We start from the raw sequence: 18,364 nt of genomic DNA on the forward strand, positions 1-18,364 counted from the left end.
TCTCATCATTTCATCTCATCATTTCTACTCACCATTTCATCTCATCATTTCATCCCATCATTTCATCATTTCATCTCATCTCAAGTCATCTTATCATTTCATCTAAGTGAAATGATGTAATGGAATCATGAAATGAAATGGATAGGATGCCCTCAGTGATGTTAAATTTAAAAATTGTTTTCATGTATTCATTTTTATATTTATATGTATTTATATTTCTATTTACTTATATTTCTTTTTACTTATTTTAAATTATATTTTTACTTATTTATTTATAGACAAGGTCCTGTTCTGTGGCCTAGGCAGGAATGCAGTGGTGCATTCAAAGTTCACTGCAACCTCGAGCAAACCTCCCACCTTAGCCTCCCAGGTAGCTGGGACCCCAGGTGCGTACCACCACACCTGGTTAATATTTTATTATTTGTAGAGATGGAGTCTTGCTATGCTGCCCAGGCTGGTCTCAAACTCCTGGGCTCAAGCAATCCTCCTGCCTTGGCAACCCAAAATGCTGGGATTACAGATATGAGCCACAGTGCCAAACCTATTTATTTGTTTATTTATTTAATAAAGAAAAGGTCTCACTATGTTGCCCAGGCTGGTCAACTCCTGCACTCAAATGATTCTTCAAACTTGGCCTCTCAAAATGTTGGGATTACAGGTATAAGCCACCATGCCTGGCCTAAAAATAGTATTATATTTTTGCATTATATAATTTTCAATTAGGTAATATGAATATTCTGTACAGGAAATATGCCCTTAATTACATAGGAATAAACATTTGTTATACTGAGAATAATCTAATAGAGCTAAAAATAAAAATTAATTTGGAGAGGTCATTAGATACACATACATTCTTATGTTTATACATTCTTTCATATATTCATATATTCTTTTAACAGTATCAATGGTTTGGAGTTACGTGTACAAAACCATGACCTATATGTAATACAACTAATAACAAGCACTTACAATTCAAGGCATATTATATACAAAGTTTTAACTTCTCATCATCAGATTTCGTTTTTTTTCTTTCTGTTTTGGCAGATACTATGAACACAACATTCAACTCACAGACACTATGGAGCCCTTACTAAGCATAAAGTACTGTGAAAGGCTAGGGCTAGGACAGAACTGAGACAGGGCCAGGGATAGGACAGAACTGGGGCAGGGTCATGGCCAGAGAAAAACCAGGGGCAGGGTCACAGCCAGGGACATGAGAGGACCAAGGCCAGGGCCAGATGTAGGGCAGAACCAGGGCCAGGGCAGGGACATGGCAGGGCCAGGGCCATGGCAGGATCAGGGCCATCAGAAGGCCAGGGCAGGGCTAGGGTAGCACAGGGCCAAGGCAGGGCAGGGTCAGTGTAGAGCAAGGAACGGGCCAGGGTATGGCAGGGCAGGGACAGGGAGGTCCAGGGCCAGAGTCAGGTCCAGGACATGGACAGGGCAGGGCCAGAAATATGGCAGGACCAGAAAGGGGACAGGGAAGGGGCAAGGCCAAGGCCAGAGAAGGACCACGGTAAAAACATGGCCAGGGAGGGTCCAGGACAAGGGCAAGGCCAGGGCAGAACCAGAGCCAGGGCAGGCAAAGGCAGGGCCAGGGCAGGGCAGGGCCAGGGCAGGTCAACGCCAGGGTAGGGTAGGGCCAGTGTAGGGTGAGGGTAGGGCCAGGGCAAGTTCAGGGCCAGGGCAGGACTAAGATAGCACAGGGCCAAGGCCAAGGCCCTGTACTAAGATAGCACAGGGCCAGGGCAGGGCCAAAGGAGGGGCCAGGGCCAAGCATGGCCAGTGTGGGGCCTGGGGATTGTCAGGGCCAGGGCCAGGGTGAAGGCTGAGCCAGAGACAGGGCCAGAGCAATGGCAGGGCCAGGGAGAAGGCAGAACCAGAGAGGATCCAGAGAAACAGCAGGGCCAGGGCAGAACAAGGACCAGGATAAGGCAAAGCCAAGGCCAGGGCAGGGCAACGACAGGGCAGGGCAAGACCAGGGAAGGGCAAGGCCAGGGTAGAAAAGGCCAGTGTACAGCCAGGCCAGGGTAGGAAAAGGCCATGGTAGGGCCAAGGCCAAGGTGGGGCAGGGCTAGGGTAGCACAGGGCATGGCCAAAAACAGGGCAGGGCCATAGCAGTGGCAGGACTAGCAACAGGGCCAGGGTAAGTGCTGGACCAGAGCATGGTGGGGACAATACAGGGCCAGGACAGATGATGGCAAGGCAGGTCCAAGGTCATTTCATGGACTCGGTAGGCCTGGGGTCAGGCCAGGGCAGGGAAAGGGCAAGGCCAGGGAGAAGGCTGGGCCGGGGCCAAGGCACTGCCAGGACAGGGCAGGACCAGTGCAGGGTGAGGGCAAGGCCAGGGCATGGATGGGCAGGGCAGGACCAACGAAGGGCCAGGAGAGGGCCACGGCAGGGTCAAGGCCAGAACAAGGGTATGGCTGGGGTCAGGAATATGGTAGGGCAAGGGCTGGGCCCAGACTGGGACACACAGGGCAGAGCATGGCCTGTACAAGGCAGGGCCAGAGCCAGGCCATAGAGATGGGAGGGCAACACCAAGGCAGAGTCAGGGTAGATCCAGGGCTGAGCAGAGTCAGGGCGGGTCCATAGTCGAGGCAGAGCTAGGGCCCAAGCAGGGCCATGGCAGCACCAGGGCAGAGGAGGGCAGGGCAATGCAGGACTGGGCCATGGCAGTGCCTGGTCAACTTCGGGGCAGGGCCAGAAGCAGGACAGGGCCAGGGCCAATGCTCAGGCCAGGGACAGGGCATGACAGCAAGTGCCAGAGCAGGGCTGGGCCAAAGTTGGGGCAGGGCAAATCAGACCAGGACACCTCCAAGTCCAGCTCTGGCCCTGCCTTGGCCCTGGCCCCTTCCTGACCTGACCTTGTCCCTGGCCCTGTCCTATCCATGCCCTGTGTGTTTGACCAGTGTTTTATAACCAGAATCCTACAAGAAACTTAAATCAGCTCTTTTTGTGCATTTTTAGTAGAGATGGGGTTTCACAATGTTGCCCAGGCTGGTTCCAAACTCCTGAGCTCAAGCCATCTGCCTGCCTTGGCCTCCCAAAGTGCTGGGATTACAGGAGTAATCTGGCCAAGTATTTAACTTCTTTATGCCTGTTTCCTACATTTGGAAAATGGGGATGCTTTAAGTACCTAGCACATAGAATTATTGTGAGAATCAATGCCTCACATATTTACATATTGATAAAATTATACTCATAGAACAGTACTGGAAGCAGAGATAGTATTAGTTAAAATTTAGTGATTATTTACTGTAAATATTATTACTATTACAAACAACATAGTATAGACATTATTACCACTACTATAGTTATCTTAAAAATCTAAAATAAAAATTTTACATAATAGCCTAATGTAATCTCCCCTGCTCTGCCCCGGCTCAGCCCTAGTGCCGGCTCTGCCCCTAGTCCTACCACATCCCTGGCCCTGACCCTTCCCTGGTCCTGCCGCTGCCCTGGCCCTTCCCATCTTCAGGCCTTACCATGGCCCTACCCTGGTCCTGACCCTGGCCCTACCCCAGAGAAGGGGTATGGCAGAGCCAGGGAAGGGCTGGGGCAAATAAGGGACAGGACACATCCAAATCCAGGAAAGGGCCAGGGCCATGACAGAGCCAGGGCGAGTCCTTGGCAGGGCCAGGTTCCAGGCCAGGGCCAGGAAAGGGTCATGGCAGGGTCACTGTATGGCCAAGGTCCAGGCCAAAGCCAAGGCAGGGGCAGGGTCAGGCCTGCATAAGGGCAGGACCAGAGCCAGTGATACGGCAGGGCCAGGGCCAGGGAGGGCCAGGGCTGTGTCAGGACAGAACAAGAGCAGAGCAGGGCAGGACCAGAGCCAGGCCATAGAGAGAGTAGGGCAAATGCCAAGGCAAGGCCAGGGTAGTGCCAGGGCTGAGGCAAGGTCAGGGAAGGTCCAGGGCTGAGTCAAGGCTGGAACAAAGACAGGGGCAAAGGCCGGGGCAGATCTAGGGCACAAGCAGGGCAGGCTAGGGCAGGGCAATGGCAAGACCAGGCCATGGCAGGGCCAGCCCAGGATAGAACAGGGCACAGGCAGGACAGGGCCAGGGCCATGGCTGGGGCAGGACAAGGACCAGGACCAGGGTCCAGGCCAGGGCAAGGGTATCACCAGGGCAGAAGTAGGGCCAGAACCAGGGTCTGGGCAGGACCAAGGAGAGTCCATTGCAGGGCCAGGGTTCAGACCAGGGCCAGAGCAGGGCTGGGACAGGGCCAGGGCCAGGACCAGGAAAGGGCAATGTCAGGATAAGAGCCATGGCAGGACCAGCAACCAGGCTAGGGCCAGGACAGGGACAGGGACAGGGTCAGGGCTAGGGCCAGAATAGCATGCCAGGGTAGAGCCAGGCCAAATTAGGGCCAGGACAGGGTCAGGACCAGGGCTGGGCCAGGGTATGGCCTTAAGTAGTGAAGGGCCAGGGCCAGGGTCCATGCCAGTGCCAGCGCTGGTCCAGGGCAGAGGCAGGGCCATGGCCAGGTCAAGGACAAGGCTGGCAGGGCCAAGGTCTGGGTCAGGGTCAGCACAAGACCAGGACAGAGCCAGGGGAGGGACAGGGCCATGGTAGGGCCAGGTTAAATCAGGGACAAGACACCTGCAAATCCACTTCAGGGCCAGGGTCAGGGCAGGGCCAGTTCAGGGCCAGGGCCAAGACAGGGCCAGGGCCAGGGCTGTCAGGGTCATTGGCAGGCCCAGGGCCATGGCAGGACCAGGGTCAGGAGCAAGGGTCAATGCCAGGCCAACGCCACAGATACGACCAGGTCTGTGCTAGGGCCAGTGTGAGGGCCAAGGTGGGGTCAGGGCAGGGCCAAAGGGAGGGCAAGGCAAGGGCAGGGTGGAACAGGCCCAGAGTAGCACATGGTTAAGATAGGGCACGACCAACCAGGGCAGGTCTATGGCTGGGGCCGGGGCATGGAAAGGGCCGGGGCAGGGCCAGAGCCAGGGCAGGGCAAAGACAGTGGCAGCTCCAGGGCAGGCCCAGGGTTAGGACCACGGACATGTCCAAGGCCAGTGCCAGGGCAAGGACAAGGGCAGGGGCAGGGCCAGGGTCATCTAAGAACCAGGGACAAAGCCAGGCCCAGAGCAGGGCCAGGACAGGTACCTGGAAGGGCTAGGGTCTGGGACAGGGCCATGGCAGGGCCAGGGCCACAACCAGGTCTGTGCTATGGCCAGGTCCAACACAGTGCCCAGGTAAGGCTAGGGTGAAGGCCAAGGTAGGGCCAGGGCGGGGTCAAAGCCAGGCGAGGGCCAAGGCAGGACCAGGGCTGGAAAGGCAGGGACAGGAAAGCATAGGGCCAAGGCAGGGCAGGGCCAGGCCAGTGCCAAGACCTGGGCAGGGCCAGGGAACAGCCAGGGCAGGGCCAGGGCCAGGGCCAGGGCCAGGGCCAGGGCCTGGGCAGGACCAGGTTTGGGGCAGGAGCAAAACAAGGGCAAGGACAGTGCAGGATCTTGGCACAGCCAGGGCCCAGGACAGTGTCAGGGCAGGGCCAAGGCAGGGTCAGGGCCATGGTAAGACCAGCAACAGGGCTGGGGCTAGGCCAGTGACAGGACCAGAGTCAGGGCAAGGGCCAGAGCAGTGCAAGGCCAGGGTAGGGCCAGGCATTTCAGGGTCAGGGCCAGGGGAGAACCAGGGCAAGGTCTCAAGCAGGGAAGGGCCAGGGCCAGAACAGGTCCAGGGCAGGGCCATGACAGGGCCAGGGGCTGTGTTAGGGCAAAGGCAGGGCCAGAGCAAGGTAAGGGTCAGGGCCAAGGCCAGGGTAGGGACAGGGCAAGAAATATGGCATGACCAGGGGCAATTCCAAGGCCAAGGCTGGGCCAGGGCTGAGTCAGGGCAGGGCAGGGCAGGGCATGGCATGGCCAGTGCAGGACAGGACAAGAGCCGGTCCACAGAGAGAGCAGGGCTGATGCCAAGAAAGAGCCAGGCTAGTGCCAAGGCTGAGGCAGTGTCAGAGCATGTCTGGGGCAGGGCCGGGGCCAGGGCCAGAACTGAGCCAGGGCACAGCCAAGGCAGGGTAGGGCAGGGAAACAGCATGGCCGGGTCAGTACTGGGACAGGGCAGAGCAGGGCAAGGCAATGGTAGGGGCAGGGCAGGGACAGGCCAATGCAGAGCCACGTTATGCCGGGGCCAGGACACCTCCAAGTCCACTTCAGGGCCAGGGCTATGGCAGGACCAAGACCAGGGCCAGGGTCAGGGCCAGGTCTGTGCTAGGGCCAGCTCCAGAGCAGGGCCTAGCAAAGACTAGGGTGAGGGTCAAGGTAAGGCCAGGGCAGGGTCAAAGGCAGAGTAGGGCCAGGGCAGGGTGATGACACATCCAGAGCACAGCAGGGCAGGGTGATGGCAAGACCAGGGGCAGACCACTGCCAGCTCAGGGCCAGGGAAAGGCCAGTGCAGAGCCAGGAAAGGGTCAGGGCCAGGAACAAGGCAGAGCAGGGCCAGGGCCATGGCAGAGTCAGGGCAAGTCCTTGACAGGACCAGGTTCCAGGCCAGGGCCAGGGCAGCAGCAGGGGCAGGGCCTGGATAAGGGCAGGGCCAGGGATATGGCAGGACCAGGGCTAGGGCCAGGGCCAGGCCATAGTGAGGGCAGGGCAAAAGTCGAGGCAGGGTCTGGGCAGGTCCAGGGAGCGGCCAGCACCAAGCAGGGCCAAGGCACAACCAGCACAGCGTAAGGCAGGGCAATGGCACCACTGGGCCATGACAGGGAAGGTCAGTGCCAGGAGAGGGCAGAACAGGCAGGCCCATGGTGGGGCCAGGGCAGGGATGGGCCAAAGCAGGACCAGGACATGTCCAAGGCCAGGTCAGGGCCAGAACAGGATTAGGACCATGACCACTGGCAGGGCCAGTGCCATGACATGACCAGGGTCAGGACAAGGGGCAGGGCCAGAGCCAGGGCCAGAGCCAAGGTCAGGCCAGTGCAGGTTCAGGGCAGGGCCAGTGCCAGGGCAAGACCAGGGCAGGGACAGGGTAGCACAGGGCCAAGACAGGGTCAGGATGGGACCAGAGCTGGACAGGGCCGAGACAGTCCAGGTAACAGTAGGGCAGGTACAGGGCAAGGCAGGGCAAAACCAGGCCCATTGCCAATGCACCAGCCCTCCCTACAAGGCTCCTACAACCTGGCCACTGCTGCAGCCCGTCCATCGCTGTAAGCCTGACCCCAACCCTGGCTGCAGCCGCCTGCCCTCCTAGCGCGGCCGCTCTCCTACCGCTCTGGCGCACTGCAGTCTCCATTGCTGCCACCCACCCGCAGCGAGGCAAGTCATGGTGTCACAGGCTCTAGGTGTCTCCTTCTCCTCCTGGCACGGAGCAGCTGGGCGGGCAAAGCCAGAAAAGCCTAGAGGAAGATGTAAGGGGTGGAAGGGTTAGAGCCTCAACTTGTCGTGCTGGCCACTGGGTGGCAGGGGCCAGTTTCAGCAAAGGCCCTCACACCCACCCTCCAAAGTCCAGCCTCTCCTTTTGGCCCAAGCTGGCTGGGAACTGGGGTCTGGGGTGGGTGCTGGAGACACCACAGCACCCAGCTCCCCACTCCACAGGAACCATTGGGCCCACCAGGGCTGCACTCCTTGGGGAACAGGAGAAGCAGAAAAATTCAGACCCAGCCAGCCCTCTGCACCCAGGTGCCAATTCCTGTTCCGGACGCCTCCACACACAGGGCCCTGTCCCCCGTGGTGTCCCCAGGGGTGCCTGGCAGCCTCTGAGGCACAGACCCAGAGTGCACAGGCCTAGGAACCACGGTAGGTGTGGGGGCTCTGCCATGCTCAGGATTCCCACACAAACGCTGCGTGCCTGCCGCACTCCAGTAGGACCAAGAGTGGGTCGCCCTCTGGAGTGTGGAGTCAGGGAGAGGAGAACCACTCCTTCCTTGGATGCCAACTCTGCTGACCGCCGCCAGCAGTGCAGCCCCTGATAGCACCGAACTTGCCCGCCCTCCACAGCTAGTCCTGCCCTCAATAGCGCCCCCCACCTCCATCCCCCAATGCCTCCAGTAGCGTATACCCGATAGTGCCCTAACCTGTCCTCCTCCATGGGCATTGCAGCCCCAGAAAGTGCCCATAACCCACCCTCCCTGCCATGGGCAGTGCAGCCCTGTACAGTGCTACCAACCAGTAGCCCTAATGCAGGCAATGACAACCTGGATAGCGCCCCCAACCCACCCCACACTGTGAAAGGTGCAGCCCTGGATACCCCCTGTCATACCACTCTGGTCGTGCTGCAGTCTCTGTCACCACCACCACCAATCACAGTGAGGCAAGCCAGTGGGCCACAGGCTCTAGCACCCAGCAGCCAGGCACGGAGCAGCTCTCGCCGATGGCTGGCTCCTACCACTCTGACCACGCTGCTGTCTCTGTGGCCATCTTCTTTGACTACAAAAGAATAAAACTAGGTATCAATAAGAAGAGTAATTTTGGAAACAATACAATCACATGGAAGTTAAACACTACCCTCCTGAATAAATGACTAGCGGGTAAATGAAGATACTAAGACAGAAATTCAAAAATTTCATGAAACAAAGGGTAACGAAAACACAGTATACCAAAACTTGTTACGCAGAAAGCAGTACAGAGGCAGAGATTTACAGCTATAAGTGCCTACCATCCAAACAAAAGAAAAACTTCAAATAAACAATACATCTTAAAGAACTAGTAAAGTAAGAACAAACTAAACCGAAAATAAGAAAATAAACAAGATCGTAGCAGAAATAAAATTGAAAGAAAAAACACACAAGATTAAATGAAAAGTTGGTTTTCTGGAAAGCAAAACAAAATTGACAAACTTTTAACCAGGCTAACTAAGAAAAAAGAGACAAGATTCAAATAAATAAAATCAACAGATTAAAAAAAGGAGACATTACAACTAATACTTCAGAAATTCAAAGGATCATAACTGGCTATTATATGCCAATAAATTGGAAAGCCTAGTAGAAATTGGCAAATTCCTAGATGCATACAACCTACTTAGGTTGAACAATGAAAACATCCAAGACCAGAACAGATCGGTAAAAAGTAATGAGATTGAAGCCATCAGAAAAAGTCTCCCAGTAAAGAAAAGCCCAGGAACTGATGTCTTCACTGCTGATGGCTTCACACCAAACAATTTAAAGACCTAGTACAAATCCTACTCAAACTATTTTGAAAAACAGGAGGGGATACTTCCAAACTTATTCTATGAGACCATTATTACTGTGATACCAAAATCAGACAAAGGCATCAAAGAAGGAAACTACAGGCCAGTATCTCTAATATTGATGCAAAAATCCTCAACAAAATACAAGTGAATCAAATTCAGTAATACATTAAAAAGATAATTCATCATGATCAAGTGGGATGTATCCCTGGGATGCAAGGGTCACTCAACATACAATGTGATACATCATATAAACCGAATAAATGTCAACTGAAACTGAAAAAGCATTTGATGAAATTCAACATCCCTTCATGCTATTAATCCTCAAAGAAACGGGTACAGAAGAAACATACTGCAACATAGTAAAAACTACAGGAAAGACACCCACAGCTAGAATCATATGGAGAGAGGTCCAGGCTGCAGTGAGCTGTGATCCCACCACTGCACTCCAGCCTGGGCAACAGAATGAAACCCTGTCTCAAAAAAAAAAAAAAAAACAAAAAACGTAAAAAGAGGTATGAGCCTCTTTTATAGGTACAGTGACTCACATCTGTAATCCCAACACTTTCTGGGAGGCTGAGGTGAGAGGATCTCTTGAGGCCAGGAGTTCAAGATCAGCCTGGGCAATATAACAAGACCCTTTATCTACAAAAAATTTTTAAATATTTGCCAGGTGTGGCGGCACGTGCCTGTAGTCTTAAACAATTATATGACCCAGATAGTGTATTCCTTAGGGATATACCCAAGGGAAATGAAAATATACATCCACACTAAAATTTGTACACAAATGTTCACAGCAGCATTGTGCATAATAGCCAAAAATTGGAAAAAAAACTCAAGTGCCTATCAACAGAGGAACTGATAAAATATGGTATATCCATTCAAAAGATTACTCAGCATTAAAAAAGAATGAAGTGCTGATATATGCTACAGCATGGATAAACCTTGAAAACACTGTGCCAAGTGAAGTAAGTCAATCACAAAAGACCACATGTAGTAAGATTTCATTCTGTGAAGCCTCCAGAAGAGCTAAACTCAGAGACAGAAAGTAGGCTAGTTATTGCCAGGGACTAGGGGAAAAGGGAATAAGGATGACTGCTAATGGGTATGGGATTTCTTGTGGACTGATGAAAATGGTCTGAAAGTATCTAGATACCTGTCTTGTTTGTGCGATTCTGTGAACATATTATAAACCACAAAATTCTGCACTCAAGGGGTTGATTTCATGGTAGGTGAATTTATCTCATTTATCTTTATCTCAATAAAGCTTTTTAAAGACACTTAAAAAAGACATCTGTATAAGCTACAAATATAACACACTGAGAGACTAAAATGCTTAATTTTTCCATTTTTCTTCTTCAGCGCAATCTCAAGTCCAAAAGTCTTTCCTTCCTATATATGCATATTTTGTCCAGTGAAACAAGAAACTCTATTAACTTTTTTATTAGAAATTTAAAAAAGCCAGGTGTGCTGGCTCACAGCTGTGCTTCCAGCTACTCAGAAGGCTGAGACAGAAGGATCACTTGAGGCCAAGACTGGGAGTTCAAGACCAGCTGAGGCAACATAGCTAGATCCTGTCTTTAAAAATATTTTTCAGGCCAGGCATGGTGGCTCATGCCTGTAATCCCAGCACTTTGGGAGGCCAAGGAGGGCAGATCATTTGAGATCAGGAGTTCAAAACCAGCCTGGACAACATGGTGAAACCCCATCTCTACTAAAAATATAAAAATTAGCCAGGTGTGGTGGTGGGCACCTGTAGTCCCAGCTACTTGGGAGGCTAAGGCAGGAGAATTGCTTGAGCCGGGAGGGTGGAGGCTGCAGTGAGGCCAAGATCATGCCATTGCACTCCAGCCTGGGTGACAGAGCAAGACTCCGTCTCAGGAAAAAAAAAAAAAAAAAAAAAAAAAAAATATATATATATATATATATATATATATATATATGTAAATATTTTTAAGTTAAAACCCTACTGAAATGAAACTAATAAAATAAAATTCAAGTTAATTAAAAAATAGTTCCTGAAATATTAATTTTCAAACAATTCTATTTTAGCTTTGACTCTGAACAAAATATAAACCTCAATTTCAAAATATCACAAAGATTGGCTGGGGGCAGTGGCTCATGCCTGTAAGTCCAGCACTTTGGGAGGATGAGGCAGGTGGATCACTAGAGGCCAGGAGTTCCAGAGCAGCCTGGCCAACATAGGGAAACCCAGTCTCTACTAAAAAAATACAACAAAAATTAGCTGGGTCTATTAACCCCAGCTACTCAGGAGGCTGAGGCATTAGAATCGCTGGAATCTGGGAGGTGGAGGTTGCAGTGAGCGGAGATCATGCCACAGCACTCCAACCTGGGCGACAGACTGAGACTCTGTCTCAAAAAAATAAAAATAAGGCCAGGTGCCGTGGCTCACACCTGTAATCCCAGCACTTTGGGAGGCCAAGGTGGGCAGATCGCTTGAGGTCAAGGAGTTTGGGACCAGCCTGGGCAACACAGTGAAACCTCCTCTCTACTAAAAATACATAAATTAGCTGCGCATGGTGGCACACACTTGTAATGCCAGCTACACCAGAGGCTGAGGCAGGGGAATCGCTTGAATTCGGGAGGTGGAGGTTGTAGTGACCTGAGATTGTGCTACTGCACTCCAGCCTGGACGACAGAGTGAGACTCCATCTCAAAAAAAAAACAAAAAAAAAGAAAATTTAAATTTAAAATTTAAAAAAATCACAAAGACTACAAATACTCAGGTTTAAGCAAATTCCCACCTTTCTTGAATTAACAGTAATTCATATTTGCTTTGTCAAAAATGTAGATATTTACCTGCCCCAACGGAATGAAATCCTAAAAGCCTAGTGTTCTCAAATGATGAAGAGAAAGAAACATGAATATTTTAATTAATAATTTTGATTCAGAATTAATTTTAACCTAGCTGGAGTATACATAATCATTTATGTATTTACTTATTTAAGAGACTGGGTTTCTCTGTGTTATCCAGGCTGGAATGCAGTGGCACAACCTTGGCTCACTGCAACTTGTACTTCCTGAGCTCAAGTGATCCTCCCACCTCAGCCTCCAGAGTAGCTGAGACTGCAAGTGCATGCTACCACACCCAGCTAATTTTTGCGGAGACGAGCCTCACTATGTTTCCCACACTGGCCTTTAATTCCTTGGCTCACTACAGCCTCAAGCCCCTGGGATCAAGCAATCTGCCTCCCAAAGTGCTGAGATTACAGGAGTGAGCCACCGCACCCCGCCTATTGGATAGTATATACTAAGCAACATGTACCCTGCTTTTGCCTAGAACATACTGAAAACATGGCATTAAAAACAATCACAAAAGTTGGGAGCTGAGAAAAATCATATACTGTAAAACAAATCTGACAGATATTAATCTCAAGAAGCTCCTGAAAATGTCTCAAGAACTCCTATGCTGCACTCTCCCTAATAATTTAGACTTTCTACAGATATTTTCTGATCATCTACCGTGTGCCAGGCACCATGCCACGTACCAAGATGCCATGGTGAGGTATACACAAAACCGGCTCCTGCTTGTAGGAAGCCTACTCTCTAAAACAGTGCTTGCCAAGCTCGACTGATCCAACTTGGGAGCTTGTTTAAGTTCCAAATCGGCTTCCCTGCTTTGGTGAGCCACAATCCGTGGCATTTTTATCAGGTGCTCCCAGTGATTCCTACGCTCTAACGGGTTTGGGAGGCAAGGGTGGGGGTAAGCTGGAGAGCCCAGAGCCATCCCGTCCAGCGGGAGCCCCACCTCTAAAGTCCATGTCGCTCAGCATCCTTCCCCCTGACTAGTGGCCCAAACACAGCACGAAGCTGAGGTGGGTGGAACGCTTTCCAAAACAGCGCTCTATGATGAGCCACTGACAGACTTGCTCGCCTCCGGGAACGAAGAGCTCACTCCTCACAAACCCCCCCCCCCCCCCCCCCCCCCCGGGAAAGGTAGCACCTGAGCCTCCCGGGCTGCGCCGACACCTGGACACCTGTCTCCCCGCGGGTGCCACCTACTGCTCCAGGGGACTCCAGTCCCCAGGTTCCGCCCCACGGGGACTGGGGGGAGGGGGGAGGCGCCCCGCGCATTAGGCGCCAACTGTATACCGACCCCCCCCTCCGGAGTGCGCAGGCCAGCACCCATACACACCCTCACACACCCACACACACTCCCGTGGAAACTGAGGCAGGCAGGCGGCGGACCAGGTCCCGCCGCCTGACGGCTCGCGGCTGGGATTGAAGCCGGACCTTCCGCCTCACAGGCGCTCCTCAGCCGCTGAGGCCCGGCCCAGCTCCCACCGCCGGAGTCTCACAAACAAAGTCTCCTGGCCCGAGCCCCTCACGCACTCACCTGCGCCGACGCCGGCGGCGATTCGGGCTCCAGCCGCCTTCAGCTCCTTGCGGGGGCCCTTGGGTCGGCTCGGGCGCCGGCGGCGGCGACTGCTCCATATCCACGGGGTCCGGGCGGCGTCCGCCTCGAGTTAAAGGTCCCGCCAGCTAGGCGCGCGCGCCAGTTCCGCTCGCCATGTTCCAGCCGTGCTGCGCGCCGCCGCGGCGACCCTCACTGCCCCCCAACCGCGCGCGCACCCGCTCCCCGCGCGCCCCCCCTCCCCGCGCGCCCCGCCTCGCGCCCTCTGGAGCTGACCGCTGTTCCCAGTGTCTCGCCCACCCCCGCGGGGCCCGTCCGACTCGACGGGTGAGCCCGTGGTTCCCGGCTCCGCACCGTCGCCTGCCTCTCTGCAGACCACCCCGGACCCGACCCCTCAGCCACTTCCCCACGCTGCCCCTTTCGCTTCCCCCATGACGCGGGGCCTAGGACGAGGGTCTGGGCCAAGAGGAACTTCCCCGCAAGAAGTGCCGAGCTAAGGACGCTACTAAGGGGGCGGGATCGCCACGTGGAGGTGTGCAAGCACGTGCCTGCGTCCGGGAGACAGCCAGACTCAACGGAGAAGCTGAGTTCAAGTCCCACATCTCCACTAACCCTTGCGTGTTAGGGTCAGGGCTTCAGGACTTGTTTCTCCTAAATCTTTTTTTTTTTTTGAGACAGTCTCTGTCACCCAGGCTGGCGGCTTTTTGCCCGCCCCGGCTTTTGCCCCCCCGCCGCCGCGACTTTTTGCCCGCCGCGGCTTTTTGCCCCCCCCCTCCCCCCCGCCGAGGCTTTTTGACCCCCCGGCCGCCGCGGCTTTTTCCCCACTGCGGTTTTTTGCCCCGCGCCGCCGCGACTTTTTGCCCGCCGCGGCTTTTTGCACCCCCACTGCCGCGGCTTTTTGCCCCCCGACGTTGCGGCTTTTTGCCGGTCGCGGCTTGTTGCCCCCCTGCCACCGCGGCTTTTTGCCCCCCATCGCCGCGGCTTTTTGTCCCCCGCCGCCGCGGCTTTTTGCCGGTCGCGGCTTGTTGCCCCCCTGCCACCGCGGCTTTTTGCCGTGCGCCGCCGCGGCTTTTTGACGCCGCGGCTTTTTGCCCCCACCCCCCGGTGCCGCGGTTATTTGCCTGCCGCGGCTTTTTGCCCCCGACTGCCGCGGCTTTTTGCCCCTCGCTGCCACGGCTTTTTGCCCCCCCGCCCCCGCTGCCGCGACTTTTTGCCCGCCGCGGCTTTTTGCCCCCCCGCCGCCGCGGCTTTTTGCCCCCCCGCCGCCGCGGCTTTTTGCCCCCCCGCCGCCGCGGCTTTTTGCCTCCGCGGCTTTTTACCCGCCGCGGCTTTTCGCCCCTCGCTGTCGCGACTTTTTGCACCACCCCCCCCGCCGCCGCGACTTTTTGCCCACCGCGGCTTTTTGCACCCCCGCCGCCCCGGGTTTTTGCCCCCCCCCCCCCCCGCCGCCGCTGCCATTTCTAGGCTAATAAACTAAGAATCATGTAAACTAAACCAAAATAGAATAGACATAAAAGTCCTGAACACTTCAACTTCCTATCCTTCACGAAGTATACCTCGCAAAGCTCATTTGAGAGAGGAAAAGCTTTCCTCCACCCTCTGTTTTACAGCGCTGAGGCTTCTCATCACATTTCTATGACTTGTAGCTTAAATCCATGTTACATGGTCACTGGCATTGTTAGGACTTCTCTTTTAACACTGTAGGAATTAATCAATTTGGTGGCATATTTAATTAATTCTATCACTAGAGGATTGTAAAATTACATATATGAATACCTCACTTTAGAGGCCACTTAATTTTTTTCCAAGGGGATATTTGACTATATTTCACTTGTGTCTTATTTAATGATTTTATAATTTAAACCCTAAATTATAAATCTAGAATTTAGAAAGTATATTTCCCCACTGGATTACATTTTTGGAAATATTATTTTATATGTACACAAATATTACAAAATCACTGTAGACACCTGCAAACTATATTATCTTTTAAAGGCAATATTTATATTAAACTGGTATAACAAAATTGACTCAATTTCATTCCATTCTGCCCTGATTTTGGTTATTTATTTTCTTCTGCTAGCTTTGGGTTTGTTTACTCTTGTTTTTCTATTTCCTTTAGGTATGATATTAGGTTGTTAATTTAAGATCTTTCTAACTTTTCAATATGGGCCTTTAGCACGATAAATTTTTCACTTAACACTGCTTTGCCTGTGTCTTAGAGAGCCTGGAATGTTGTATCTTTGTTTTAATTAGTTTCAAAGAATTTATTGGTTTCTGCCTTAATTTCATTGTTTACCCAAAAGTCATTCAGGCACAGGTTGCTTAATTTCCATGTAATTGTATGGTTTTGAGAGTTCTTCTTAGTGTTGACTTCTATTTTTGTTACACTGAGCAGTCCAAGAGTGTGGTTGGCATGATTTCTGGGGTTTCTTTTAATTTATTGAAAATAATTTTAGACTGATAGTGTGATCGATTTTACAATATATGCCATGTACAGATGAGAGGAAGATATATTCTGTTGTTGTTGGGTGGAGTGTTCTGTAGATGGCTGTTAGGTCCATTTAGCCAAGTGTTGACTTCAAGTCTTGAATATCTTTGTTCATTTTCTGTCTCTATGATCTGTCTAGTACCATCAGTGAGATGTTGAAGTCTCCCACTATTATTCTGTGGTTATCTAAGTCTCTCTATAGGTCTCTATGAACTTGTTTTATGAATGTGAATGCTCCAGTTTTGAGCACATTTATCTATCAGACAGTTAACTCTTCTTGTTGAATTGAACCCTTTATCATTACTTAGTGCCCTTCTTTGTGTTTTTGATTGTTGTTGGTTTAAAGTCTATTTTGTCTGAATTAGAATAACAATGCTTACCCTTTTGTGTTTTGCATTTGCTTGGTAGATTTTTTTCCATCCTTTTACTTCAAGCCAATGGGTATTGTTGTATATGAGCTGGGTCTCTTGACAACAGATACAGTTGGGCTTTGCTTCTTTATCCAACTTGCCATTCTGTGAGTTTTAAGCGGGGCATTTATACTGTTTACATTCACAGTTAATATTGGCATTTATAGCTTTGGTCCTGCCATTATGTTGTTAGCTGGTTATTATGCAGACTTGATTGTGTAGTTACTTTACACGTCAATGGTCTATGTACTTAAATGTATTTTTGTGGTGGCCATTAACAGTCTTTCACTTCCACGCTTAGCACTCCCTTAAGGACCTCTTGTAAGGCATGTCTGGTGGTAACAGATTCGGTTAGCATTTGTTTGTCTGAAAAGGATCTTACTTCTCCTTCACATATGAAGTTTAGTTTGGCTGGATATTAAGTTCTTGGTTGAATTTTTTTTTTTTTTTTTTTTTTTTTTTTTTTTGTGACAGAGTCTTGCTCTGTCCCCAGGCTGGAGTGCAGTGGTGCTATCTTGGCTCACTGCAACCTCCACCTCCTGGGTTAAGTGATTCTCTTGCCTCAGCCTCCCGAGTAGCTGGGACTACAGACACGCACCACCATGCCCAGCTAATTTTTGTATTTTTATTACAGATGAGGTTTCACCATGTTGGCCAGGATGGTCTTGATCTCTTGACCTTGTGTTCTGCCCCCCTCAGCCTCCCAAAGTGCTGGGATTACAGGCATGAGCCACCACACCTGGCCAAGTATTTTTTTTTTTAAAGAATGCTGAAGGCCGGGCGTGTTGGCTCACACCTGTAATCCCAGCACTTTGAGAGGCCAAGGTGGGCAGATCACGAGGTCAGGAATTTGAGATCACCCTGGCCAATATGGTGAAATCCTGTCTCTATTAAAATTATAAAAAATTGCCGGGTGTTGTGGTGCACACCTGTAGTCCCAGCTACTTGGGAGGCTGAGGGAGAAGAATTGCTTGAACCCGGGAAGTGGAGGTTGCAGTGAGCCAAGATATCACCAGTGCACTCCAGCCTGGGCAACAGAGTGAGACTCCATCTCGAAAAAAAAAAAGAATGTTGAATATAGGCCCCCGGTTTCTTTTGGATTGTAGAGTATCTTATAGTTCCACTGTTAGCCTGATGGGATTCTCTTTGTATGTGACCTGCCCCTTCACTTTAGCTGCCTTTCATATTTTTTTATTTCATGTTGACCTTGGAGAATCTGATGACTGTCTGTCTTGGGGATGGTCATCTTGTATAGTATCTCACAGGATTCTCTGCATTTCCTGGATTTAAATGGTGACTTCTCTAGCAAGATTTGGGAAATTTTTGTGGGCAGTATCCTCAAATATGTTTTCCAACTTGCTTGTTCTTTCTCCCTTTCTTTGAGTGATGCCCTGAGTCATATGTTTGGTCTCTTTACATAATCTCAGATTTCTCAGAGGTTTTGTTCATTCTTTTTTATTCTTTATTTTCATCTGACTGAGTTGATTCAAAGAAGTGGTCTTTGAGATCTGAGATTCTTTCCTCAGCTTGGTCCGTTCTGCTGTTAGTACTTGTTATTGTATTATGAAATTCTTGAGGTGCATTTTTCAGCTCTATCAGTTTCGTTTGGTTCTTTCTTAAAATGCCTATTTCATCTTTCAGCTCTTATGTCATCTTATTGGATTCCTTAAATTATTAGGATTGGATTTTGACTTTCTTCTGAATCTCAATGATCTTTGTTTCTATCCAGATTCTGAATTCTATGTCTGTCATTTAATCTTGCTTAACAACCATTGTTGGAGAGTTAGTATGATTGCTTGAAGACAGGAAGACATTCTGGCTTTTTACATTGCCAGAGTTCTTGCACTAGTTCTTTCACATCTGTGTGGGCTAAGGTTCCTTTAATGTTTTGAATCACTGTCCTTTGGATGGAGTTTTTTCCTTTTTTATATTCTTTAATGCCCTTGAGGGTTTGACTGTG

The 18,364-nt window shown here is 51.0% G+C and overlaps 2 long non-coding RNA genes and 1 pseudogene across 4 annotated transcripts in view; 1 reads left to right on the plus strand and 2 right to left on the minus strand.

Annotated features, from left to right (window-relative positions):
* Nucleotides 1-1,618: 1,618 nt before the first annotated feature.
* On the minus strand, nt 1,619-2,551 carry LOC107984164 (formin-2-like; annotated as a pseudogene).
* Nucleotides 2,552-5,483: 2,932 nt separating this feature from the next.
* On the minus strand, nt 5,484-13,555 carry LOC105378267 (uncharacterized). Its single transcript, XR_001747432.1, has 3 exons — nt 13,486-13,555; nt 8,202-8,368; nt 5,484-7,338 (listed from the first exon to the last, which is right to left on the minus strand). It is a non-coding gene; the product is annotated as an uncharacterized LOC105378267 (long non-coding RNA).
* A 220-nt stretch (nt 13,556-13,775) lies between these two features.
* LOC101929373 (uncharacterized) overlaps nt 13,776-18,364 on the plus strand; it is a 34,331-nt gene continuing 29,742 nt past the window's right edge. Inside the window, exon 1 of one of the 3 annotated variants that reach the window (XR_001747436.2) lies at nt 13,776-14,035. This is a non-coding gene — a long non-coding RNA (uncharacterized LOC101929373). The remainder of the gene's footprint in view (nt 14,036-18,364) is intronic. The other 2 variants (XR_001747434.2, XR_001747433.2) reach the window with 2 other exon arrangements.

The sequence above is a fragment of the Homo sapiens genome, chromosome 10 (assembly GCF_000001405.40).
Source record: "Homo sapiens chromosome 10, GRCh38.p14 Primary Assembly".
NCBI lineage: Eukaryota > Metazoa > Chordata > Mammalia > Primates > Hominidae > Homo > Homo sapiens.